This window comes from Homo sapiens, chromosome 4 (assembly GCF_000001405.40).
Source record: "Homo sapiens chromosome 4, GRCh38.p14 Primary Assembly".
NCBI classification, from domain to species: Eukaryota; Metazoa; Chordata; class Mammalia; order Primates; family Hominidae; genus Homo; species Homo sapiens.
Window position 1 is genome coordinate 932447 of NC_000004.12, and position 26261 is coordinate 958707.

Sequence of the window (26261 nt, forward strand, 5' to 3'; positions counted from 1 at the left end):
CCGGGCTTGCGATGAACTTCCGGCTGTCAAGCTCCCGGCCGGGCTGACTCAAGCGGAGGCGCGCGGAACAGTCGCCGAGGCGATTCCCGCCCAGGTAGTTCAGCGCCCCAGTCCAGCTCCCGGTACCGTTCCCCACATGGTCTGTTTTGTGGGAGGCTCCTTCTCAGGTGTCTCCGGTTTAAGCGCTTCGCCATCCTCTGGGTGGAGTCAGCCTCCCGTTTGCTGTTAGCGCCGCGTTTGCGAATGGGTTCGCGAATTTTTCTCTCAGTTGGCTAAGGAGCAAGGAGTTAGCGTGCGTTAAGCTTTCAGTAAATACTTGGTTTTCGTCTCATGGAGGTCGGAGTTTCCTGTGACGCTTAGTGAGTAAGGTTGGCAGCCCCCTCCCAGCAGCCAGGCAGGCAGTTTGCAGGGGAAACGCTGCTGCATTGCTCTGTCTTCCGAGGAGAGGGCCAGGGTCTGGCCTGGGGCAGTGACCAGTAGTGGGAGCCGTGGGCTAGAAAAACCTTCGTCCTGGGCAACCACAACACTGCAGAGACTGCCCTGTGACCCTCAAGGTTCGTTCTCACCCTGACATTTTCCAAGGCAAAAGCAAATCCTCATGAACCACTTGGAAGGGTTCGTAATGCCCAACTATTTGGAGATGAAATGGTGACTTTCCTTATAGGATAATAAGGAAATGGCTCACAGACAATGCATTTTTAGTTTTTGGCCCACACAGTATTTGGGGGTTGGGAGTGGGTAGCAGGAGGTGAATTAGTTGCTATCATTTAAAGACTGATGCCAGGCGCGGTGGCTTACACCTGTAATCCCAGTGCTTTGGGAGGCCGAGGCAGGCGGATCACCTGAGGTCAGGAGTTCCAGACCAGCCTGGTCAACATGGTGAAACCCCGTCTCTACTAAAAATACAAAAATTAGCCGAGCGTGGTGGCGGGTGCCTGTAATCCCAGCTACTCGGGAGGCTGAGGCAGGAGAATCGCTTGAACCCGGGAGGCGGGCGCCACTGTACCCTAGCCTGAGACTCCGCCTCAAAAAATAAATAATAATAATAATAATAATTGAAAGGCCTAAATGTTAAAAACCTAGTTTTCCAGCTTCTGTGGAAAAATCAAACCTGTCAATATTGGACCCAAAATGATGTGTGTTACCAATTACCTAGAGTGGTCCCTTGAGGTAAGACACAGTCATTTGCCTGACCAGATGGGCTCATGTATGTTACCTGCCTGGTTCCTATAGTCATTTAAGGTTGCAACCCCTTCAACAGAGTTATTTGTTCTCCAACTCAAAAATGGATTCTAAAGCTCACATCAGCCTCTTAGCCGTCCCAGAAGCTAACATCTGTTATCTTTATCATTAAAAGATAATAGCCTCAGCTCGTTGGAACACTTATCTATGTTATGGAATGAAGTATTGCATGAAGCCAAATGACATCTTTAAAAATATATATAACAAAAATAACAGTAGCAATAGCTTAGTTTAGGCACTGATTTATTGCTTACAACACCCTTTTCTGTAATAGTTCATTGTAGTGAAAACATCTTTGTGAAGAAAGCACAGTATAATTAACCCCCTTTATTTTGGGATGAGAAAATATGCTCAACAATGCCATTATTCGGCCAGGGCCAACAAGTGATACAACTGCAATTCAACGCAAGTCATGGCTTTTCCAGCCAGTGCGTTTGTCTGGTCGACTGTGGAATAGAAGGATAGAGAGCTCAGGAAAGAATCCCTGCTAGAGACAGATATCTGGGCATCCTCAGCATAGAGGTGGCAGTTGGCTCTAGGAGCTGAAGAGAGGACCAACAGAGATGGTGTACTAGACATAAAGAGGTTAGAATCTTCAGAGAATAGACAGTTTGTGGAGAAAGAGCAGTCAGTGAAGGAGGAAGAAAACCAAGAGAGTGTCGTAACAGAGCCAAGGAACGAGGATGTTCGGGGCAGAGAGTGCAGCTAAGAGTGTCGAATGCCACTTAAAAGTCAAGTAGAAAAAGAAATGGAAGATATGTGTTGGATTTATTCACAAGGGATCATTGGTGACCTCACCAAGAATAGCTTCATTGGAGTAATGAGGTGGAAGCTACATATTACCGTAGAGGGATGAAGAGATGATGAGGTAGAGATGGCAAGTGGAGATAACTCAAAATGTTTGTCTGTGGAAGAGAATATGAACAACTTCAGGCCAACAAATTCGGCACCCTTAGCTCCAGGGAGCTACAAGGGTGATGTAGTATTGAGATGTTTTAAGATGAGAGATTCTTGAGCAGCCTAAAGCGGATGGAAGGGAGAGAAGGTTTGCTGGTACAGAAAAAAGAGGAATAATAAGATAATTCTATCTTAATGAGATATCTTCTATCTCTTAGAACATAGGAGGGGAATGACATCAAGAGCATAGGTAGAGATATTTGCTTTGGACATAGGAAAAACACTCAGGAAGAAAAATGGGCTGCAGTTGTAGGTGACCTTATGTATTTATTGGAATGAAGGTGAAGGAATTCTCTAATGACTTCTGTTTTCATTGTGAATGAGGAAAGAAAAACATCAACTGAAAGTGAGAGGGGAAGTAGGAAACCCAAGATTTAAGCAGTGTCAAAAAGATCTAAAATAGCTATTATGAGAAACCTAGCAAATAACTCACTGGAAAGCATGAGAGCGTTTAAGCACTCATCTGGAGGCCATGAACTTATACTGGCATGACCTGGGATCAGCTGGACATTTCTAAACCTTGTAATCACTTTGGAAACCAGAGTCAGACTACTTATCTTACGAATATTTCTGGAGCACCTTTATTTATTGGCATTGAAGTAGATGCTATAGTAACACCATCTTAACCCAAATATCTATCTCCATATCTCATCTGAACTCTCAGATGTTTGTTCTTAGATACTGCTACATGTATAAACATGTATATATCCAAAACTGAAGTTATAGTCTTAATCCCTATAACTGATTTCCTAAATTTCATAGCAAAGAGTATTGCAAGAGATTAAGAGGATCATTTTGTAATGAAGAAGGGGTGAATTCATCGAAAAGACTTGATAATCCTAAACATTTATGCACCTAATAACAAAGCTCTAAAATACACAAAGCATAAACTAATAGCTGCAAGGAGAGAGAAAAATCACAATTGTAGTTGGAGAATATTCTTTCTCAATAAACGATAGGATAGATACCCAGAAAATCACTGAGGATATAGGCGACTTGAACATGACTGTCAGCCAACTTGACCTAATGAATGTTTATGGAACACTCCCCACAATAACAGCAGAATACACAATTTTTCAAGTGCATTAAAACATTAAGCCTGATCATATTCTGTTCTATTAAACAAGTATGTTATCTGACCAGAATGATATTGAATATTAAAGTAGAAATCAGTAACAGATTGGAAAATCCTTTCAATATTTGGAAACTGAATAACTCACTTTTGTTTTTTGTATATTTTTTCAACTCACTTTTAAATAACTCATGGGTCAAAGAAGAAATCAAAAAGGAAATTAGAAAGTATTTTGAACAGAATGAAAATGAAAATGCAGCATTTAAAACTGGTGGGATGCAGCTAAAACAGTATTAAATGTTAAGTCTCAAATCAGTGACCTCAGCAATCACCTTATGAAACTAGAAAAGTTGGCTGGGCACGGTAGCTCACTTTGGCAGGCTGAGGTGGGCAGATCACTTGAGGTCGGAAGTTTAAGACCACCCTGGCCAACATGGTGAAACCCCATCTCTACTAAAAATACAAAAATTAGCTGGGTGTAGCAGTGCATGCCTGTGCACGCCTGTAGTTCCGGCTACTTGGGAGCCTGAGGCAAGAGAATTGCTTGAACCCGGGAGGTGGAGATTGCAGTGAGCTGAGACTCTGTCACAAAAAAAAAAAAAAGGAAACTAGAAAAGTAAGAGGAAATGAAACCCAAAGTGAATATAAGAAGGCAGATAATAAGTATCAGAGTGGAATTCAAAAAAATAGATAACAAAAGCAATAGAGAAAATCAGGGAAACCAAAAGCTGATTCTTTGAGATTAATAAAATTGAAAAATCTCTGGCCAGATTGAACAAGAAAAAGGCAAGACACAAATTACCAATATCAGGAATGAGAAATGACATCACTACGGAAAGGATAATCGGGGACTATTATTAAGGACTTTAGGCCAACAAATTCAGCAGCTTACACTAAACGAACAAATTCCTGGAAAGCACAAACCACTTAAGCTCATTTAAGAAGAAATTGTGTTGGGCCCGGCGCGGTGGCTCACGCCTGTAATCCCAGCACTTTGGGAGGCCAAGGCAGGTGGATCACAAGGTCAGGAGATCAAGACCATCCTGGCCAACATGGTGAAACCCCATCTCTACTAAAAAAGATACAAAAATTAGCTGCGCATGGTGGCATGTGCCTGAAATCCCAGCTACTTGGGAGGCTGAGGCAGGAGAATCGCTTGAACCAGAGAGTCGGAGGTTGCAGTGAGCCGAGATTGAGCCACGGCACTCCAGTCTAGCGACACAGTAGGACTCTGTCTCAAAAAAAAAAAGAGAAATTGTGTTGTATGAAAGGATGAAAGAGGCCCTGACATGCATACAATTAAGGCATTGCAACATACTTTGTGTTATCTAACCATCTTTTTTTTTTGAGGGGATGGATACCCCATTCTTCATGATATGATTATTACACATTGCATGCTTGTATCAGAACATGTACCCCATGAATATATACACCTACTATATACCTATAAAAATTAAAAATGTAAATTTTTTAAGAAGGGAATAGATAACCTAAATAGCTCTATGTCTATTAAAGCATTGAATTTATAGTTGACAAATCTTCCCTTAAAGAAGACTCCAGACTTGGCTGGGCACAGTAGCTCATGCCTGTAATCCCAGCACTTTGGGAGGCCGAGGCAGGTGGATCACCTGAGGTCAGGAGTTCAAGACCAGCCTGGCCAACATGGTGAAACCTCATTTCTACTCAAAATACAAAAATTACCCAGCATGGTGGTAGGTGCCTGTAATCCCAGCTACTTGGGAGGCTGAGGGAGGAGAATCACTGGGACCCAGGAGGTAGAGGTTGCAGTAAGCTGAGACTGTGCCATTGCACTCCAACCTGGACAACAAGAGTGAAACTCGATCTCAAAAAAAAGAAGACTCCAAACTTAGATAGCTTCTCTGGGAATTCTACTAAACATTGAAGGAAGAAATAATACCAGTTCTATACAAACTCGGAAAGTTGAAGGAAGGAATTATTTCCCACCTCATCATTCCTTACAGCATTATTCTGATACCAGAATTCCACAAAGACGTTACTAGAAAATTACAGGATAATATCTCTTGTGAACATAGACAAGAAAATGCATTTAAAACATTGTTTAGCAAATTGAATCCAACACTATATACAGAAAGGATAGTACACCGTGACCGAGTGGGATATCTCAAGAGGGCAAAGTTGGCTTAGCATTTGAAAGTTTATCAATGTAATTCACACTCTTGAGAGTGAAGAAACAAAATGGATCATGTCAATAGATACAGAGAAGCATTTGACAGAATCCAACATCCATTACTGATTTAAAAAAAAAAAAACTCAGCAAACTAGGAATAAAATGAAACTTCCTCAGTATAGTAAGGGCATCTGTGAAAAACCTGCAGCTAGCATCATATGAAATAATAAAAGACTGAATGTTTTCCCCCTAAGACCAGGAACAAGCCAAGGCTGGCTGTCTGATCTCACCACTTCTATTCAGCATTGTACTAGAAATTCTAGCCAACGTGATGAGGCAAGAAAAAGAGGGCTGGGGCCAGGCACAGTGGCTCACACTTGTAATCCCAGCACTTTAGGAGGCCGAGTCGGGTGGGTCACCTGAGGTCAGGAGTTTGAGACCAGCCTGGCCAACACGGTGAAACCCCGTCTCTACTAAAAATACAAAAATTAGCTGGGTGTGGTGGCGGGCGCCTGTAATCCCAGCCACTCAGGAGGCTGAGGCAGGAGAATCACTTGAACCTGGGAAGTGGAGGTTGCAGTGAGCTGAGATCGCACCACTGTGCTCCACTCTGGACAACAGAGTGAGACTCGGTCTCCAAAAAAAAGAAAAAAAAATCGGATAGAATCTATAAAAAGAGCTACTCGTGAGTTTAGCAGGGTTCCAGGATACAAGATAAATATGCAAAAATCAATTCTATTTCTACGTACTAGCAATAAATATTGGAAGTTGAAATTAGAAACATTTACAATAGCATCAAAAAGTCTGAAATACTTGGGATAAATGTGAAAAAAGATGTGCAAGACTTATATGCTGAAAACTACAAAAATTAGCTGAGAGAAATTAAAGCCCATAATAAATGGAGAGATATGCCATATTCATAAACTAGGAGATTCAACAGTGCAGTTCTCAAATTCACCTGTAGATTCAATGTAAACCAGTCAAATTCCCAGCAGACTATGAGAATTTGACACATAGATTCTAAAATTTACTTGGCTCTGCAAAGAAGCTAGAATAGTCAATACAAGATTGAACAAGGACAAGACAAAATTGTGTGATTTACATTACCTAATTTAAACACTTAAAGCCACAGTAATCAAAACTGTGGTGGCTGGGTGTAGAGGTACGTGCCTGTAGTCGCAGCAACTCAGCAGGTTGAGGCGGGAGGATCCCTTGAGCCTGGGAGTTTGAATCTAGCCTGGGCAACAGTGTGGAGTTGATATAAAGATAGCTAAGTAGGTAAATAGAAGAGTCCAGAAATTGACCCACAGGTATCTATGCTGAATTGATTTTTTATAAAGGTGTAAAAGTAGTTCATTGGAGAAAGAATAATTGTTTCAACAAATGATACTGGAAAAATTGGATATTCACGTGTTTAGAAAAAGGAACCTTGGGCCGGGTGCAGTGGCTCACGCCTGTAATCCTAGCACTTTGGGAGGCTGAGGCGGGCAGATCACTTGAGGTCAGGAGTTCGAGACCAGCCTGACCAACATGGAGAAACCCCATTTCTACTAAAAATACAAAAATTAGCTGAGCGCAATGGCTCACGCCTGTAATCCCAGCACTTTGGGAGGCCAAGGCAGGCAGATCACTTGAGGTCAGGAGTTCGAGACCAGCCTGACCAACATGGTGAAACCTCATCTCTACTAAAAATACAAAAATTAGCTGGGCGTGGGGGTGAGTGCCTGTAATCCCAGCTACTCAGGAGGCCGAGGCAGGAGAATTGCTTAAACCCAGGAGGTGGAGGTTGCAGTAAGCTGAGATCATGCCACTGCACTCCAGCCTGAGTGACAGAGTGAGACTCCGCCTCAAAAAAAGAAAAAAGAAAACCTTAACCCTTACCTAGCATTATGTATAAAAGTTAACTCAAAATCATAAATCTAAATGTGAGATCTAAAACTATAAAACTCATGGAAGAAAATGTGTGAAATGTTCTGTGAGATTTTTAGCCATGACACTAAAAGCTTGATCCCATGAAGGAAACAGATAAACTGGATTTCATCAGCGTGAAGAACTTTATAATATGCTGTTGAAAATAGCCCATATGAACAATAGGTGAATAGATAACCTGTAAGTCCATAACATAGGGTAGCATTCAATAATAAAAAGATAAGCTATCAAGCAACAACAAGACTTGAAGGAACCTTAAATGCATATTGCTCAATGAAAGAAGCCAATCTGAAAAGGTTCCATACTGTATGATTCTAACTATAGAACATTCTGGAAAAGGCAAAATTATGAAGACAGTAAAAAGAGCAGTAGGCCAGGCGCAGTGGCTCACGCCTGTAATCCCAGCACTTTCGGAGGCCAAGGCAGTCAGATCAACTGAGGTCTGGAGTTCGAGACCAGCCTGGCCAACATGGTGAAGCCCCACCTTTACTAAAAATACAAAATTAGCTGGGCGTGGTGGCATGCGCCTGTAATCCCAGCTACTCAGGAGGCTGAGACAGGAGAATCACTTGAACCTGGGAGCTGGAGGTTGCAGTGAGCCGAGATTGCACCATTGCACTCCAGCCTGGGCAGCAAGAGTGAAACTCGATCTCAAAAAAAAAAAAAAAAAAAAGCAGTAGTTGCTAGGGGTTCAGGAAGAAAGAGGGAGGGTGGAGCACCAGAGATTTTTAGGGTGTTTAAACTATTCTGTATGATACTGTTTTGGTGAAAACAAGTCATTTTACATTTGTCAAAACCCATAGAATACAGCACAGAATGAAGCCTAATGTAAACTATGGACTTAGGTTAATTGTGATGTATGAATATTTGCTTGTCAATTGTGCCGTATGTGCCACACCAATGTAAGATGTTAATAATAGGAGAAAGGGAGGCCAGACATGGTGGCTCATGCCTGTAATCCCAGCATTTTGGGAGGCTGAGGTGGGTGGATCACGAGGTCAGGAGTTCGAGATCAGCCTGACCAACATGGTGAAACTCCATCTTTACTAAAAATACAAAAATTAGCCAGGCGTGGTGGCGTGTGCCTGTAATCCCAGCTACTCAGGAGGCTGAGGCAGGAGAATCGCTTGAACCCAGGAGTCGGAGGTTGCAGTGAGCCAAGATTGTGCCACTGCACTCCAGCCTGGGTGACAGAGTGAGACTCCGTCTCAAAATAATAATAATAATAATAATAATAATAATAATAATAATAATGGGAGAAAGGGGAAAGGGGGATGTGAAAGTGTATAAAAGAACTCTGGGCCGGGTGCAGTGGCTCACGCCTGTAATCCCAACACTTTGGGAGGCCAAGGTGGGCAGATTACGAGGTCAGGAGTTCAAGACCATCCTGGCCAACATGGTGAAACCCTATCTCTACTAAAAATACAAAAATTAGCTGGGTGTTATGGCAGGCACCTGTAATCCCAGCTGCTCGGGAGGCTGACACAGGAGAATCGTTTAAACCCAGGAGGCAGAGGTTGCAATGAGCCGAGATCGTGCCATTGCACTCCAGCCTGGGTAGCAAGAGCGAAACTCTGTCTCAAAAAAAAAAAAAAAAAAAAGAAACAAAACAAAAAAAACTCTGTACTTTCTGCTCTATTTTTCTTTTTTTTTTTTTTCTTGAGATGGAGTCTGGCTCTGTCACTCAGGTTGCAGTGCAGTGGCGTAATCTCGGCTCACGGCAGCGTCTGCCTCCCTGGTTCAAGAAATACTCCTGCGTCAAACTCCCGAGTAGCTGGAATTACAGACGCGTACCACCACACCCAGCTAATTTTTGTATTTTTAGTAGAGGTGGGGTTTCATGTTGGCCAGGCTGGTCTTGAACTCCTGACATCAGGTGATCCGCCCACCTTGGCCTCCCAAAGTACTGGGATTACAGGAGTGAGCCACCGCGCCCGGCCTCTGCTAAGTTTTTCTATAAACCTAAAACGGCTTAAAGAAAAAATCAATTTTGGCCAGGCGTGGTGGCTCATTCCTATAATCCCAGCTACTTGGGAGGCCGAGGCAGGAGAATTGCTAGAGCCCAGCCTGGGCCACATAGACCCCATGTCTTTATAAAAAAAGAAAAAAAAAGAATATTTTGTCAAACCCAATGTCATGAAATGATTTTCTCCGGCATCATCTTCCAAGAGTTTTATAGTTTTAACTCTTACATTTACATCATTGATCCACTTCGAGTTAACTTTTGTATGTGTATTAATTAGGTTGAGTCCGAATTCATTCTTTTTTTTTCTTTTTTTTTTGAGATAGAGTCTCTCTCTATTGCTAGGCTGGAGTGCAGTGGTGCGATCTCGGCTCACTGCAACCTCCGCCTCCCGGGTTCAAGCGATTCTCCTGCCTCAGCCTCTCGAGTAGCTGAGTAGCTGGGACTACAGGCACGTGCAACCATGCCCAGCTAATTTTTGTATTTTTAGTAGAGACGAGGTTTCACCATCTTGGCCAGGATGATCTCGATCTCCTGACCTTGTGATCCGCCTTCCTCAGCCTCCCAAAGTGCTGGGATTTTGGGCATGAGCCACCATGCCCGGCCCGAATTCATTCTTTTGCATGTGGATATTCAGTTGTCCCAACACCATTTGTGAAAAAGACTTTTCTTTTCCCATCGAGTGGTCTCGGCATCCTTGTCAAAATCAGTTAACCATAAATGTAGGGGTTTATTTCTGAACTATATTCCATTGGTCTGTGTCTATGCTGTCTTGACTACTGTAGCTTTGTACTAAATTTTGAAATCAGAAAGTGGGAGTGCTCCCAATTTTGTTCTTTTTCAATATTATTTTGGCTGTTAAGGTTCCTTGAATTTTCTTTTTTTTTTTTTTTCTTTTTGAGACAGAGTCTCACTCTGTCACCCAGGATGGCGTACAGTGGTGCAATCTCAGCTCACTGCAACCTTCGCCTCCCAGGTTCAAGCGATTCTCTTGCTTCAGCCTCCTGAGTAGCTGGGACTACAGGCGCACACCACTACGTCCAGCTAATTTTTGTATTTTTAGTAGAGATGGGGTTTTGCCATGTTGGCCAGGCTGGTCTTGAACCCCTCATCTCAGGTGATCCGCCCGCCTCTGCCTCCCAAAATGCTGGGATTACAGGTGTGAGCCACTGCGCCCAGCCAAAATTCAGAACTTCTGTTCTCCTAAAGACTGGTAAGAGAGTGAAAAGACAAGCCACAGACTGCAAGAAAATATTTCCAAATTACACATCTTGCAGGATTTTTAACTAGAATATAAAGAACTCTCAAAACTCAATGACATTACAAACAACTCAGTAAACAAGCAAAGATTCTAAGACACTTCACTGTGAAAGCTATACAGATGAAAGATGCCTAATTAGTCAGTAGAGAAATAGCAGATTAAAACCACAATGAGACACCCCTACACGAGTACTAGAATGACTAAAATAAATTAATTGAATTATTGATTTTTATTATTACTATTTTTTTCCTAGACGGAGTCTTACTCTGTCTCCCAGCCTGGAGTGCAGTGGCACGATCTTGGCTCACCGCAACGTCCACTTTCTGGGATCAAGCAATTCTCCTGCCTCAGCCTCCCGAGTAGCTGGGATTACAGGTGTGTGCCACCACACCCAGCTAATTTTTGTATTTTTAGTAGAGATGGGGTTTCACCATGTTAGCCAGGCTGGTCTCGAACTCCGGACCTCAAGTGATCTGCCCGCCTCGGCCTCCCAAAGTTCTGGGATTACAGGCATGAGCCACCGCGCCCAGCTAAATTATTTCTCTAAGCTGTGCCAAACTGAGTACCAGAGGAGATGAGCAAGCGCAGGTCTCATGCCTGTCGGTGGGAATGCAGATGGTGCAGCTGCCTCGGCAAATTGTCGGGTGGTTTCTCAGGAAGGAAACATGTCCTTACAATACGACCCAGCAAAACCACTCAAAGGCATTTACCCAAAAGTCATGAAAACATGTTTACACAAATGCCTGTGTGCAAACGTTTATATATAGTGGCTTTATTCATAATTGTGCAAAATGAAACAATACACACGTTTTTCAGCTGGTAAGTGGATCCACAAACTGAGGTGTGTCCATGCAGTGAAATTACCACACAGCAACCAAAGAAGTGTGTTACTGATACTCCCAGCACCACAGATGAGTCTCGAAAGAAGCTAGACTCAAAACCTCTGGAGGGTGCGATTCCGTTTATACCACATTCTAAAAAAGGCAAAATTGGCTGGGTGCAGTGGCTCACGCATGCAATCCCAGCATTTCGGGAGGCCAAGGTAGGTGGATCACCTGAGGTCAGGAGTTTGACACCAGCCTGGGAATCATGGTGAAACCCTGTCTGTACTAAAAATACAAAAATTAGCCAGGCATGGTGGCTGGTGCCTGTAATCCCAGCTGCTCGGGAGGCTGAGGCACAAGAATCGCTTGAACCCAGGAGGCGGAGGTTGCAGTGAGCTGCGATCGTGCCACTGCAATCCAGCCTGGGCGACAGAGCAAGACTGTCTCAAAAAAATAATTAACTAAATAAACGAGGCAAAATTACAGTGACAGAAAACAGATCAGTGGTTGCTGGAGCTTGGGGTTGGGGAAGCTTGAACACAAAGATGCTGTTTGGGGATAGAACAGTTTGCTGGATTGTGGCTAGCTGTGGTTACATGCCTGTCTGCATTCTAGGTAAGAAGTAACCTGGGCATAGAGCAAAAGCCCCCCACCTGCTCCCCGCCCCTCCCTGCCTGGGTTGCTGCAGCGCTGTCTGGAAGTTGGCGAACATTGTTCTTATTTGTGGTTTTCATTTCTTACCGTATACACATACGGTGTGTGTATAATTAAGAAGATAGATGGTTTTATGTGTCCATTGTTTACATAAATGGTACAATAGTATGGTTTTGCAACTTGATTTTTTTGTCTCAACATTTTGTTTTATAGTTCTATACTTGTAGATCTGTTTTAACTTTCTGATAGTTTACTTCATGGTTTAATGATTTGTCCCTTACTAGTCAGAATGTGTTTTAGTTTTATTGTTAAAACACACCGGGCTGGCTGCGGTGGCTCTCGCCTGTAATCCAAGCACTTTGGGAGGCTGAGGCAAGGAGATTGCTTGAGCCCAGGACTTCAAGACCAGCCTGGGCAACATGATGAAACCCCTGTCTCTATGAAAAATACAAAAAATTAGCCAGGCTTGGTGGTGCACGCCTGTAGTCCCAGCAACACAGGAGGCTGAGGTGGGAGGATCACTTGAGCCTAGGAGGTCGAGGCTGCAGTGAGCCGTGATTACGCCACTGCCCTCCAGCGTGGGCAACAGACTGAGACCCTGTCTCAAAAAGAAAAAAAGAAAAACTGCGTGTTGCCTCAGTGCAGACCCTAGGCAGCCTGTCATGGCAGTCCCAGTGAGACTGCCTGGAATGGACCCTTGGAGGGTATGGCACTACACCTTATTAACTGTTGCTAAACTGTCGCTGAAACACACATGTCCGTTTACATTCCTGCCTCAGTTTCTGTTTCCCCAGGCCCCCGCCGTCTCTGTCTCCTCACTCCCCGCCGTTTGTTGCTGCCTCAGCTTCTGTTTTCCCCACGTCTTTGCCGTCCTGTCGTCTCACTCCCCGCCGTCTGTCCCCACCGTTCATTCCAGCCTCGGTTTCTGTTTTCCCCAGGTCCCTGCCCTCCCGTCGCCTCACGCCCACCACCCTGGCTGGCCTCTCTCCGTTTCATTTGCACCTCCCCGATCTCCCTGATTGCTAGTGAAGTGGAATGCCTTGTGTGTTTGTTTTTCCCGGCTGGAAACCAGTGAGCCTCTGTCCATTCTCTGGGGTGAACTCTCCTTGTTTTTGTGCGTCTCGCCTTGGTGTGAGCAGACTACAGCACATCCCTCTTCCTGCGGACCCTCTAGCTGGCCACATATTTCAGTCCCCTGATGCCCTTGGCCAAGTAAACAGCACCCCCTTTGGAGTAAAACCTGGGGGCTCTGGCTTGTCACCTCCCGCTGGTGCTGAAGGGCTCTCCCCATACCCTTCCTGAAGAGGTCTCCGCCCCTTAAATGGTGGAGAGCCCAGCCTGTCCTGCCCCCGGCTGCTCCTCTCCTCCTTCCCGGGTGCCACTCCCTCGGACCACCCCCACATTTCCAAGTAGCACAGAAATTACTTCTGTTTCTAACACGGCTCAATCCGAGGTACCTTTGAAGGCTGCAGCTCCAGCCTGACTCCTTCCATCCCCATAGCTCCCCTGCCCTGAGACAGCCTCCGGTGCTTCTGCTGTGTCCCAGGAAACAAGCCTGAAGCAAGCACTCACCATCCCTCAAGAATGTGCCCTGACCTACCTTCCTCACCACGGTGGCATCAGGGCCAGGTGGGCTCCCCCTTCTCCGTCACCCCCCACGGCAGCCCCCAATACTCTTAGGAGCTGCTTTCCCACATGCTGTGTGTCTCCTGGGATGCCAGACCTCCGTCACTCCTCTCCTAGGTCATAGCAGCCCTTCTGACTGGCGTCCTTGACACACTGCTGCCCTCTTCCCTGCTCCGGGGCACCTGGCTGCAGGTGGGGCTCAGCCAACATGGGGCTCTCTGGCCACATTCTATGTTTGGGGAACTTGTCTCAGTGTGCCCAGCCTCCACCTCGGGTGCAGGGTGAAATCCATAGTGCCTGGTTGGCACGAGGCTGCCCACTCGGGTGCAGGGTGAAATCCATAGTGCCTGGTTGGCACGAGGCTGCCCACTCGGGTGCAGGGTGAAATCCATAGTGCCTGGTTGGCACGAGGCTGCCCAGCACCATGCAGCAATGGCTCCTGCAGCCATACCTCAGTTCTGTCTCCGTGAGGCGCTGGGGTCTCTTCTGTCCAGAGTACTCTCCACCTGGCATCTTATTCATCTTCCCAGATGCATCTCTGATATTAAAAATGCCTGGGGAGTGCTGTGCTGAGCCACAGCTGTGGCGTGTGCCCAGTGTGCACCCAGCCCCGGCTCCCACAGGCGGACTGGAGTGCCTGCCCTGGTGCTAACTGGCTACATATGCAGGGCCTTGGTTTCCCCAAAGGTCACCAAGGGAGAGCGCGGCCCCTGTAGGAAACAGCCCCAGGCACGCGTGCACAGGCGCCGAGACCGAGGGAGAGCGCGGCCCCGTAGGAGACAGCCCCAGGCACGCGTGCACAGGCGCCGAGACCGAGGGAGAGCACGGCCCCTGTAGGAGACAGCCCCAGGCACGCGTGCACAGGCGCCGAGACCGAGGGAGAGCGCGGCCCCTGTAGGAGACAGCCCCAGGCACGCGTGCACGGGCGCCGAGACCGAGGGAGAGCGCGGCCCCTGTAGAGAACAGACAGCCCCAGGCATGCGTGCACGGGCGCCGAGACCGGGGGAGAGCGCAGCCCCTGTAGGAGACAGCCCCAGGCATACGTGCACAGGTGCCGAGACTGAGGGAGAGCGCGGCCCCTGTAGAGAACAGACAGCCCCAGGCACGTGTGCACGGGCCCCGAGAGCGAGAGCGGGGGAGAGCGCGGCCCTGTAGAGAACAGACAGCCCCAGGCACGTGTGCACGGGCCCTGTAGAGAACAGACAGCCCCAGGCACGCATGCACGGTCAAGGGCCCCGCAGGGTGCTGTGTTCCTCTTCCACGTTTAGGTCGGCCTTGGGGTCTGTGATCTCTGTGCCTTTCCTTGTCTCTCCCGTTTCCTGAGGAGAAACTGAGGCCCAGTCCACCCAGATCAGTGTTCACCAGTAACAGGGCCGGGAGTGGCATCTGTTGTTGGCCTCTCAGCCTGGAGGCCAGAAATTTGAGGGGCACCTGGGAGAGGACAGAGCAGCGTGGACCCTTCCCCTGCTCAGTGGCGGCCAAGCCCCCCCCCATACCAGTCCCTGTCCCTGCACCAGGGCTGAGGCTGCATGGCCGACCTCCAGGAGCGCCCCACAGGCACACTCAGACCTGCCTTTCCTCCCAGGCTCCTGTAACCGCCAGGCAGCGGCCCCGCCATGTCCCAGCCCCGGACCCCAGAGCAGGCACTGGATACACCGGGGGACTGCCCCCCAGGCAGGAGAGACGAGGACGCTGGGGAGGGGATCCAGTGCTCCCAACGCATGCTCAGCTTCAGTGACGCCCTGCTGTCCATCATCGCCACCGTCATGGTCTGTACGGGGCCCCTGCTTAGGCCTGCCCCACCCCGAGCCTCTCGAGGCACTGCCCAGCCCACCTCAGACCTGTCTAGGTCTTGCCAGCATCCTTGGGTCCCCCAGCTCCTCAGGCAGCTTAGGGGGGCCCAGCACTGCCCTCGAGTCCCCAGTACTGCCACACCCAATCCAACAAGCGTCTCTTGCTCTCCTGCTTCCTTCTGTCTCTTTGCCCCCTCAGATCCTGCCTGTGACCCACACGGAGATCTCCCCAGAACAGGTAACGGGGCAGGCTGTGCTCTGCGTGGTGTGGCCCTGCGAAGATATAGGGTCCCCGAGGCTCGACCTGGCACAGGGTGCTGACCCTGCACGCCTCGAAGCTTCTGAGGCTTAGGAGGCAGAGGCGGGAGGCGGGGGCCTCCTTGGAAAGGGAGGGAGCCAACAAGTCCTGCTCAGCCTGTGCTCACCCCGGCGGAGGTCCTGGCCTCCTGGGAGGGTGGGAGACTGGGCTCCTAGGGCTCTGTTTCCGAGTTCAGTGGACAAAGGCAGCACCCTGGAAGTGAGCCAGAGGACAGGTTGGAAGAGGAAGGTTCCGGGCCTGCCCCAAGGACAGAAGTTTCCTCTGCGGGAGGGCAGCTGCCCCAGCAGGCAGGCCCCTTACGTAGCTGCTCTGAGTAAACGCGGCCAGCGCCCCGTCTCAGCGGGGACACTCCCACCCCGGCTGCTCCTGCAGGCCTGGAGGTGAGCGGGAAAGGGTTTACAAGCAGAGTTTCCACCTTGACTGTTTCTGAGCTAAAGAGCCAAACAGCATCTTAGAAGGGGAATGACTGGAGGGCGTCTGGGGCCCACACCTGCCTGGCTCTGTGTCCTCATGACAGGGTCGTGCGGCCCAAGCTTCATGGGTGCGCAAGGCACAGCAGTGACCACGTAGCCCTTCCTGGGCCAGTACTGAGGTTGGGCCTCCAGTCCTGACTCGTGAGCTGAGCCTGGGGGACGCCGAGAAGTCATGGGAGCTGCTTAGAGTTCGGCTTTCTCAGCTGTGCGAAGGGGATGATGAGACTTTACATAGGGTTTTCATAAGTAGAAATGCGGGTGGAGCCTGGCCCAGTCTGCAGGGAGACCCTGGGCACCAGCAGGCAGCAAGCAGCACAGGCACTGGGACCCCAGAGCCGCTCCCGCCCTCCCTAGGGGGGCAGCTGCTCAGGAAAGCTGCGTCCCCACCGAGGCCCATGGGGTGGGCTTGGCCAAATGCAGTCGTGAGGTACTGGCCTTGGCTGCCCCTTTCAGAACGGGGTCGCTGAGGTACGGCCACATCCACCTGTGATGCCCGTGCCAGAGGGCGCATGACAATGAAGGGCCCGGGTGGTTGAAAATAAAAACCTGTGAACCTAAACCTGCTCCGACTTCTCTGCAGCCAGGGCACCTTTCTAGGACTGTGGTGTTTAGTGCCCTGTCTTTTCTCTGTTGTCCTAACTGGGTCACAGGGAGGGTCTGAGTCTCAGAAAGTCCTGGAGAGTCAAAAGCTCATTCAGAGAACACATTTATGTGAAGAGGGAAAGGCCTGACGTGTGTCCCAGGGAAGGTGCTAGAACAGTGGACACCTCCTTGTGAGGAGAGGGGACTCCTGGGGCTGTGCTCACTCTGATGAAAAATAAAAGACAGTTGTAACTTTGAAAACCCATGATTCGAAAAGCTAAATGGGACTCAATTAAGAAGTGACTGAAACACTAAGTTATTGACCCAGAGACCTGCCTGCAAGTGAAGAACCAAGGGAGACAGTAAAGTGCTCAGTGTTCTGTTGGGAGCGTTCGTGGAGAAAGCATGAAAACCTTCCCAGGGCTGGAGGGCGAGGGCCCCGGTGCCTCCACGCCCACCGCGGCCCCCAGGGCAGGCTGCCTTCGGGGTCCCTCGCAGCTTCCACAGAGACCCTTTCCCGTGGCTGCTTTGGAATTGCCTACCTAGGCAGTGCCAGGTGTGACCCTTTTGTGCTGTCAACCTGTGTGTCCTTCCGAAGTCCGCATGCCGGACGCCTCACAGGGATGGCGTTGTGAGGCAGAGCCTTTCGGTGGTGACCCGGTTATGATGGCAGAGCCTCATGAATGACATTCGTGACCTGGTGCTTTTGCCCTCCTGTCCCCTCCCACATGCGGATACACAGAGGGTACCATCCCTGAGGCGGAGTCCACAGCAGACACCGAGCCCATTAAGAGCTGACCCCCCAGCAGGAACACAGCCCATAGAACACTCTGGAGTACACCTGTGGGTGTGGGCATGGATCAGCGCCCTGGAGAAGGGGTGGGGGCTGGAGGGGTGGGGGCTGCAGGTGCCAGGGGAGACAGACCAGCTGGAGACGGAGGCTGGACCCAGACCAGGGCACTCAGGGTCTGCTGGGGAGGCCAGGACCCTCCCAGGTGCCTCACAGGACCCACCCGAGGGTTTCGCCCTGCCCTGGGCCGAGGCCAGCCCCCCCTCACGGTGCTGTCTCGACTGCCATTCAGGGACACTCATGTCACCTGGGCTCTGACAGCAGTGCTCTTGTATTCCAGCAGTTCGACAGAAGTGTACAGAGGCTTCTGGCAACACGGATTGCCGTCTACCTGATGACCTTTCTCATCGTGACAGTGGCCTGGGCAGCACACACAAGGTGGGGGCCCGGGCGCTTCCAGCGGTCCATAGCTGCTCTCAAGGTTCCCGTACCCCGCACCACATCACGCACGGGTCCATGGGGTCGGGGAGGACAGCAGGCTACTCCTCCCACCCTCATCCGCGTGGGGATGGCAGGACTTACCCCAAACCCAGGGCCTGGGACAGTGTGGATGGTGCAGTAGGCGGAGGTGTGGACGGTGCAGTAGGTGGAGGTGTGGATGGTGCAATAGGTGGAGGTGTGGACGGTGTGGATGGTGCAGTAGGCGGAGGTGTGGATGGTGTGGATGGTGCAATAGGTGGAGGTGTGGATGGTGTGGATGGTGCAGTAGGCGGAGGTGTGGACGGTGCAGTAGGTGGAGGTGTGGATGGTGCAATAGGTGGAGGTGTGGATGGTGTGGATGGTGTGGATGGTGCAATAGGTGGAGGTGTGGATGGTGTGGATGGTGCAGTAGGCGGAGGTGTGGGCGGTGCGGATGGTGCAGGGTGTGGATGGGAGCAGGGTGCTTTCTAGGGAACTTCATTTCCTTCGTGTTTTCCAAACTCCGTGCACTAGGTAGTAGTTTATATTTGGTTAACAGTGACATCTTTTAATGATGTTTTAACCAGAAGATGCTGGAAAGAGTGTGTGTGCATTTAATGTTACTACAACCGCGTTTTATTGTCTATCTTTTTCTTAAATGGTTTAGGTTGTTCCAAGTTGTTGGGAAAACAGACGACACACTTGCCCTGCTCAACCTGGTGAGTATTTTCCGGTCCTTTTCTGGGGAGTGACTCTGGTCTGTAATCTGACCCTCAGGGAAGAGGGGAAGGGAGCAGCCGGCCTCTCTCGTGACCTCCAGGGAGTCTCGGAGCCTGGAATCTGTCCACAGCTGGGAGCTCCTTGAATGATCTTTCCCTCCCCATGGGTCGCCAGCCTATATCTCCTCCCAGACACAGCCAGGGTGTGGGGGACCAGGGGCACTGGGTTGGGCACAGGTGTAGGGGACAGAGAGGATGAGTGCCCCCATCTGGCCCTGCAGGGTCTGGGGGCTGGACTCACACTCGCTGGCCCACCCTTCTTGGGGAGGGCCCAGCCCTGTGCCTTCCCGGAGTGGGCTCTGTCCATTCCCCTGCCCTTCTCCCCAGGCCGCATCATGGCTGTGATGCCCTCCCTCCCTCCAGGCCTGCATGATGACCATCACCTTCCTGCCTTACACGGTGAGCAACACCAGGCCCCTGACACCCTGAGGCTTTGCTGGGCACCACTGGATTTGACCTGTCCTCAAAAGCAGACCAGCTGGATGGCCCAGGGCCCAGGCCACACGGTTGTAGAGAAGAGAGAAGGTTCTGGGGAGAGCCAGCTGTTGGGCTGTTGGGGGCTTCTTTCAGGCTGGCGGGGAGGGGAGGCAGTGGCCCCGATGAGGGAGTCACCGGCGCTCCCAGCTCCCACCCGGCCCTGAGCCCACAGCCCCCTGCCCATCCCAGGCCTGTCCCTGGCGTGCAGCCCCTACAGCCTCCGACCACCCGCCCTGTACTACTCAGGCTGTGAAAGTGCCTCCAAATTCTGGCAGTGGCCGCTAGTCTGAGTGTGCGGGGCTGTGTGCCACAAGGAACTGGGGTCTGGGGAATTCCGTATGAATCGGATGACATTTTGGCTTTAAAGGCCTGAGACATCTGGTGGAGTTGGTTGGGGTGGGGGCAGTTTGGACACATGCCCCCCAGCACCCAGCTGGCGCCATCCTGTGATGGCCCCACCGCATCTCCCAGCGTCCCGTGGAGTGGGGAGGCTCACCATGGCCCAGTTCCAGGCTCTGGGGCCTGGTAACCTAGGATTTGGGGGGGTTTGGTTTTGTTTTTGTTTTAACAGTTTTCGTTAATGGTGACCTTCCCTGATGTGCCTCTGGGCATCTTCTTGTTCTGTGTGTGTGTGATCGCCATTGGGGTCGTGCAGGTAGGGGGCCTGGGGGGCCTGCACTGTGTGTGTGTGTGTGTGTGTGTGTGTGTGTGTGTGTGTGTGTGATCACCATCGGGGTCGTGCAGGTAGGGGGCCCAGGGGGCCTGCACTGTGTGTGTGTGTGTGTGTGTGTGTGTGTTCACCATCAGCCCTCTTGGGGCCTGGGGTCCTGTGCTGTGTGTGTGTGTGTGTGTGTGTGTGTGTGTTCACCATCAGTGCTCTTGGGGCCCGGGGTCCTGTGCTCTGTGTGTGTGTGTGCGTGTGTGTTCACCATCAGCCCTCTTGGGGCCCGGGGCCCTGTGCTGTGTGTGTGTGTGTGCTGTATGTGTGTGTGTATATGTGTGAGTGATCGATTGCCGTCAGGTCACACAGGTAGGGTTCCTGAGGCCACCTACACACATAGGATGTGGCATGCCCAGAGTCCCCGCTTTCTGACCAGAGACTGGGAAGAGTGGGCCCTGAGACCCCCCACATGCGGCCCCAGGAGCCAGCAGGGGCTCCTGTTCTCTCTCCACCTCAGCCCCTGTGCCCAAAGTGTCCCAGGTACAAGCCCACCTCTACTCGCCAGGTCCTCCCCCACCCCAAGACCCCTGTGCGCGCGTGCCATGCAGCCCGGGGCCAGGTCCTCCCCACCTCGAGACCCTTGCGTGCGTGTGCCATGCAGCCCGGGGGTTGACTGCTGTGGGGGCCCCCTCTGCTCTTGGGGCCTGTGTCCTACAGCTTGCTTTTCCCGCAGGCACTGATTGTGGGGTACGCATTCCACTTCCCGCACCTGCTGAGCCCGCAGATCCAGCGCTCTGCCCACAGGGCTCTGTACCGACGACACGTCCTGGGCATCGTCCTCCAAGGCCCGGCCCTGTGCTTTGCAGCGGCCATCTTCTCTCTCTTCTTTGTCCCCTTGGTGAGTGCTGGGACAGCCCGTGGGGCCCAGGCAGGAACGGGGGCCACCATAGGAGCAATGTCCCCGCTGAGCAACAAACACGGGGGTGGGGGCAGAGCGCAGACAGGCAGGGGTTCCACCCAGGGTCTTGTGTGTGAGGCCCAGGGCTGCAGTGAGTGGCACCAGGGAGGGAGGCCTGCTCCACCTGAGGCCCCGAGACCCAGCCTGTCGAGGACAGAGACGGACGCTCATCGAAGGAAGGGGCAGCTGAGTGTCCTTCTCAGAGAAGCTTCACGATGACGATGACCAGAAACAGCGACACCCGGAATCCGGGGGTGCATGCGTTTTCTTGTTTTGTTTTTTGTTCATTGAGGCAAGATCTCGCTGTGTCACCCAGGCCGGAGGGCAGTGGTGTGATCTTGGCTCACCACAGCCTCGACCTCCCGGGCTCAAGTGATTCTCTCACCTCAGCCTCCCAAGTAGCTGGGACTACAGGTGTGCACCACCACACCTGGGTAGTTTTGGTATTTTTTGTGGAGACAGAGTCTTGCTATATTGCCCAGGTTAGTCTGGAATGCCTGGACTAAAGTGATCCTCCCGCCTTAGCCTCCCAAAGTGCTGGATTACAGTGTGAGCCACCACGCCAGCCTTTATTTTCTTTTTTTCTTTTTTTTTTCTTGAGACGGAGTTTTGCTGCCAGGCTGGAGTGCACTGGCGCAATCTCGGCTCATTGCAACCTCTGCCTCCCAGGTTCAAGCAATTCTCCTGCCTCAGCCTCCTGAGTAGCCGGGATTACAGGTGCCTGCCACCACCCTCAGCTAAGTTTTGTATTTTTAGTAGACACGGGGTTTCACCATGTTGGCCAGGCTGGTCTCGAACTCCTGACCTTGTGATCCACCCACCTCAGCCTCCCAAAGTGCTGGGATTGCAGGCATGAGCCACTGCGTCCAGCCTATTTTCTTTTGGATAAGGAATCTATACAAAACTGTGTCAGGACAGTAAACATCAAACAGTGTTTGGAGGAGGAGCCCCTGGGGATAAGACCAGTATCTGCTCATGGGGACATCAGCTGTTGGTGCTTGGAGAATGTGAGCCACTAGGGAGAGGGAGAAGGCAACAAAAGCACTGCTGGAGACGTGTAGGTGTCGTGAGTGGCGCCGCTGTGAGCACTGCTGGAGACGTGTAGCTGCCGTGAGTGGCGCCGGTGTGAGCATTGTTGCGTGTGGAGCCACTGTGGGCATTGCTGGAGTGATGCCTCTCTGAGCATTGCTGGACACGTGTCTCTTCAGATCTGTCTTCTCAGGCTGTTGGTGTGTGTGCCCACAGTGAGTTTCTGGGTCATTTGGTGATTCTGTTTAATTTTTTAAGTTTAATTTTTTGAGGAACCACCAAACTTCCACAGCAGCTGCAGCATTTTACATTCCCACCAGCAGCACATGGTGGTTCCAGTTTGTCCACATCCTCATCAACACCTGCTGTTTTTCAGTTCTCTCCATCCTAGTGGATATGAAGAATCTCGTTGTGGTTTTGATCTGCGAGAGGTCGACCATTTGCATGTTTTGTTTGGAGCAATGTCTGTTCTCATCCTTTGCCCATTTTTAATTGGGTCGTCCTTTTATTTTTGAGTTGTAAGAATTTCAGATAGGGAGATAGACGATAAATTTTAAGACACGGTCTTGCTCTGTCACCCAGGCTGGAGTGCAGTGAGCTGGGTCACCTCTCACTGCAACTCCTGTCTCCCAGGTTCAACAGGCACACACAGTCACACCTGACTAATTTTTTATTTTTCGTAGAGATACAGTCTTACTATGTTGCCCAGGCTGGTCTCGAACTCTTGGGCCCAAGCGATCCACCTGCCTCAGCCCCACAAAGTGCTGGGATTACAGGCATGAGCCACTGTGCTGGCTTAAGAATCCTTTACACTTTTTGGGTACTAGGCCCCATCAGATACATGATCTGCAAAGACCCTCCCTTCTGCCGCAGCCCCTGCTTTGGCACACAGCTTTGTGTGGGTAAGGCCTGGCCTCGGACCCCTGTGGAGGGCACTGACCTGCGGTTTGTCTCCCTGCAGTCTTACCTGCTGATGGTGACTGTCATCCTCCTCCCCTATGTCAGCAAGGTCACCGGCTGGTGCAGAGACAGGCTCCTGGGTAGGTGATGACTGGGTGGGCTGGCCTGAGAGGCCTGTAGTCCGCCCACCTCCGTGCGGCTGCTCCGCACTGAGGGCTGTCCGTGGGCCGAGGCCCGTGTGCGTGGTGGTGGCTGGGGCTCCCCCACTCCGCCCCTCGGGCGTCCCTGTCCTGTCTCCTCTCCTGGCCTGCACATTCCAGGCCTCTTCATGGATGAGGGCGGTGACAGCCACGCGGGCTCTACCTCCACATGGGGGGTTTGGCCAGCTCCACCCTCCTGGCGTGTCCCCAGGCCACAGGGAGCCCTCGGCTCACCCAGTGGAAGTCTTCTCGTTTGACCTCCACGAGCCACTCAGCAAGGAGCGCGTGGAAGCCTTCAGCGACGGAGTCTACGCCATCGTGGCCACGCTTCTCATCCTGGACATCTGGTGAGGACCCCGCGTCACCTGCCCCAGCTATCAGGTGGCCAATGTGTCTTGAGTCCCTGGCGTCTCATCCTGGAAACCCCAGAAAGGCACAGGGGTCTTGGCTCCACCCTCCTCTGGATGCCTAGAGTTTTGTGTGAGGTCAGGGCAGCCCCCACTTCAGGGAGGACAACCTTCCCGGCGGCCCCTCCCTTCCCAGCGGCCCCTCCCTTCCCAGCGGCTCCCACCCCAAGCACAGCCGAGGATGGGGTGCCAGGGTGAGGTCAGCACCAGCAGCCAACTGCTCTCCTCACTCCTCTCAGAGGGGCTCAGCAGCCATGGGTATCCCCCTGCCCCAGGCCTCACCCCTGCCCCAACACCAGCCCCTCCTAGTCCCTAGTCCCTCCCATTCCCTCCGGCTCCCTCCCAGTGCCCCCCATCGCTTCGCAGCCCCTCCTGCTCCCTTTGGCTGGCTGTTGCTTCCTTCCAGCGTCTGCTCCTCCGCGGCCTCATCTGCCTCTTCGTCTGTTAGAGCGCGCGTCTCGTCTCAGTCGTCACGTTTTTGGTTTTTGTGGGGTTTTTTTTTTTTTTTTTTTGAGACAGTCCTGCTGTGTCGCCCAGGCTGGAGTATAGTGGCTCAAGCTCAGCTCACTGCAACCTCCGCCTCCCAGGTTCAAGCAATTCTCCTGCCTCAGCCTCCCAAGTAGTTGGGATTACAAGCACCCACCACCATGCCCAGCTAACTTTTTGCATTTTTAATAGAGATGAGGTTTCACCAAGTTGGCCAGGCTGGTCTTGAACTCCTGACCTCAGGTGATCTGCCCACCTCGGCCTCCCAAAGTGCTGGGATTACAGGTGTAAGCCACCGTGCCCGGCCATCGTAATGTTTGAATTTGCTTTTTTACATCTTCCATCCTTTTGGAGTGTCTTGTTCCCTCGTCATAGTTCAGCACTGTGACCACCTTGGGGTTAGACACTATGGTTTTATATCCTGTACTTGATATTCTCGAGTCCAAGTCTCCTGATGCTCTTCTCTGCTGTCGTGTGCATTTTTAAAAACGGGAAGCAAACGTTCATTGGCATCTGATCTCTAAGGCCCAGGTGCCAGGGATGCTCCAGGGTGAGCTGCCTGATTGTGCAGGCCAGCTGAGGCTCCCCTTGGGAGGGACCTGCCGAAGAGAGGCAGCAGCGTGGGGCCGGGACAGTGACCTCTCCTCCACCTGGAGCCATGGCCAGGGGAGCTGCCCCCTCCCAGCAACTTCCTGCCCTTGCTGCCTCCAGTCTGTCTCCTGCCCCCAACCCCCACCCCTCACCCCTCGCCCTCTGCGTATTGTTCTGGAGGACAGAAGTCTGTCTGGGGCTGCATGAGGACCACTGTCCTTCACTTCCCGATGTTGAAGGACGACACTGTTCCCGGCTTTCTGGGTGGTGCCGTCAGAAGGCAGCAGCCCTGACAAGGGGGTTCCCACAGCCTCCCTGTGGAGGGAGTTGGCCTCCTGAGACCCCCATGTGCATCTGAGAACCGTGGAGGCAAGCCCTCTGCAGATCTTCAGCCAGGGTGTTGTGTGGGTGGCTCCGAGGGCTGGAAGCTGGGAGGGAACAGACCTCGCTGCCCCACAGCAGGCTGGTCCTGCCCAGCAAACACAGGAGAGCCTCGGCCAGAGAGGGCTGCAGCCCAGGGCCCCCAGCAGCACTCTGGGCCAGCAGGGTTGGGCTCCCATTAGCACAGAGCAGAAGGGTGCCAGTTTCTATGGAATTTCAGATGAACAGCACGTAACAGTCAGTGTGCCAAATACACATAAATACGGCGTTCTGAAATTTAGCACACTGGGAAGTCCACATGGTTCATCTGAAAACGTGCCAGATCCAGGCAGCCCTGACAGGCGCTCAGCCACCCTGCTGGGGCCTGTGTGGCCACGGCAAGGCCGGCACAAATGCATCTATTCACTGTTCTCAGCGAAGACAACGTCCCGGACCCCAAGGATGTGAAGGAGAGGTTCAGCGGCAGCCTCGTGGCCGCCCTGAGTGCGACCGGGCCGCGCTTCCTGGCGTACTTCGGCTCCTTCGCCACAGTGGGACTGCTGTGGTTCGCCCACCACTCACTCTTCCTGCATGTGCGCAAGGCCACGCGGGCCATGGGGCTGCTGAACACGCTCTCGCTGGCCTTCGTGGGTGGCCTCCCACTAGCCTACCAGCAGACCTCGGCCTTCGCCCGGCAGCCCCGCGATGAGCTGGAGCGCGTGCGTGTCAGCTGCACCATCATCTTCCTGGCCAGCATCTTCCAGCTGGCCATGTGGACCACGGCGCTGCTGCACCAGGCGGAGACGCTGCAGCCCTCGGTGTGGTTTGGCGGCCGGGAGCATGTGCTCATGTTCGCCAAGCTGGCGCTGTACCCCTGTGCCAGCCTGCTGGCCTTCGCCTCCACCTGCCTGCTGAGCAGGTTCAGTGTGGGCATCTTCCACCTCATGCAGATCGCCGTGCCCTGCGCCTTCCTGTTGCTGCGCCTGCTCGTGGGCCTGGCCCTGGCCACCCTGCGGGTCCTGCGGGGCCTCGCCCGGCCCGAACACCCCCCGCCAGCCCCCACGGGCCAGGACGACCCACAGTCCCAGCTCCTCCCTGCCCCCTGCTAGCAGCCACAGAGCCCACTCCCAGCCGTCCTCACCAGAGATGGACCAGGGAGGACAGGATGCTGGGCAGGGGAAGCCAAGTCACGGGCAGGCCGCAGTGGTTCTTGCGTGGCCTGGTTTTATTTTCATTGTGAAATATCATGCTCTTATTTCAGTCCTCAAATTGTTCTCCACTTTTTGCGGAGAGAGGAGTTTCACAGGAACTGGAAATGTG

The 26261-nt window shown here is 51.8% G+C and overlaps 1 protein-coding gene across 14 annotated transcripts, besides 2 other annotated features; it reads left to right on the plus strand.

Moving 5' to 3' along the window:
• On the plus strand, window positions 14-26210 carry TMEM175 (transmembrane protein 175). Of its 14 annotated transcripts, none has more exons than XM_017008701.2 (12): window positions 14-94; window positions 13553-13680; window positions 15263-15446; window positions 15670-15708; window positions 17975-18072; window positions 18761-18812; window positions 19236-19271; window positions 19921-20004; window positions 20744-20908; window positions 22959-23037; window positions 23309-23444; window positions 25378-26210. In XM_017008701.2, the coding sequence occupies exons 3-12, from the start codon at window positions 15294-15296 to the stop codon at window positions 26048-26050; spliced, it is 1515 nt and encodes a 504-aa protein (XP_016864190.1). In that variant the 5' UTR covers window positions 14-94; window positions 13553-13680; window positions 15263-15293; the 3' UTR covers window positions 26051-26210. The 14 variants fall into 14 exon arrangements, with proteins under 14 accessions (XP_016864190.1, NP_001284355.1, NP_001284356.1 ...); NM_001297426.2 differs by lacking the exon at window positions 13553-13680 and adding an exon at window positions 15965-16169 and having other exon boundaries at window positions 19200-19271; NM_001297427.2 differs by lacking the exon at window positions 13553-13680 and having other exon boundaries at window positions 15670-16169; window positions 19200-19271.
• Window positions 136-455: an enhancer, noted in NCBI's record as "active region_21140". NCBI's record gives its function as "activates an Ori minimal core promoter by ATAC-STARR-seq in GM12878 lymphoblastoid cells {active_cell/tissue: GM12878}" and the evidence as "EXISTENCE:reporter gene assay evidence [ECO:0000049][PMID:35858748]".
• Window positions 12690-13283: an enhancer, noted in NCBI's record as "H3K4me1 hESC enhancer chr4:938924-939517 (GRCh37/hg19 assembly coordinates)". NCBI's record gives its function as "activates a minimal SCP1, AML or CMV promoter by ChIP-STARR-seq in naive H9 embryonic stem cells {active_cell/tissue: H9 hESC(naive)}" and the evidence as "EXISTENCE:reporter gene assay evidence [ECO:0000049][PMID:30033119]".
• Window positions 26211-26261: the final 51 nt, after the last annotated feature.

Excerpts from the sequence above, each read along its gene's own strand:
- TMEM175 (XM_017008701.2), top strand. The coding sequence starts at position 15,294 with ATGTCCCAGCCCCGGACCCCAGAGCAGGCACTGGATACACCGGGGGAC. Across the intron at positions 15,709-17,974 it reads CGGAGATCTCCCCAGAACAG|CAGTTCGACAGAAGTGTACA; the intron begins GTAACGGGGCAG and ends CTTGTATTCCAG. Across the intron at positions 23,445-25,377 it reads CTTCTCATCCTGGACATCTG|CGAAGACAACGTCCCGGACC; the intron begins GTGAGGACCCCG and ends CACTGTTCTCAG.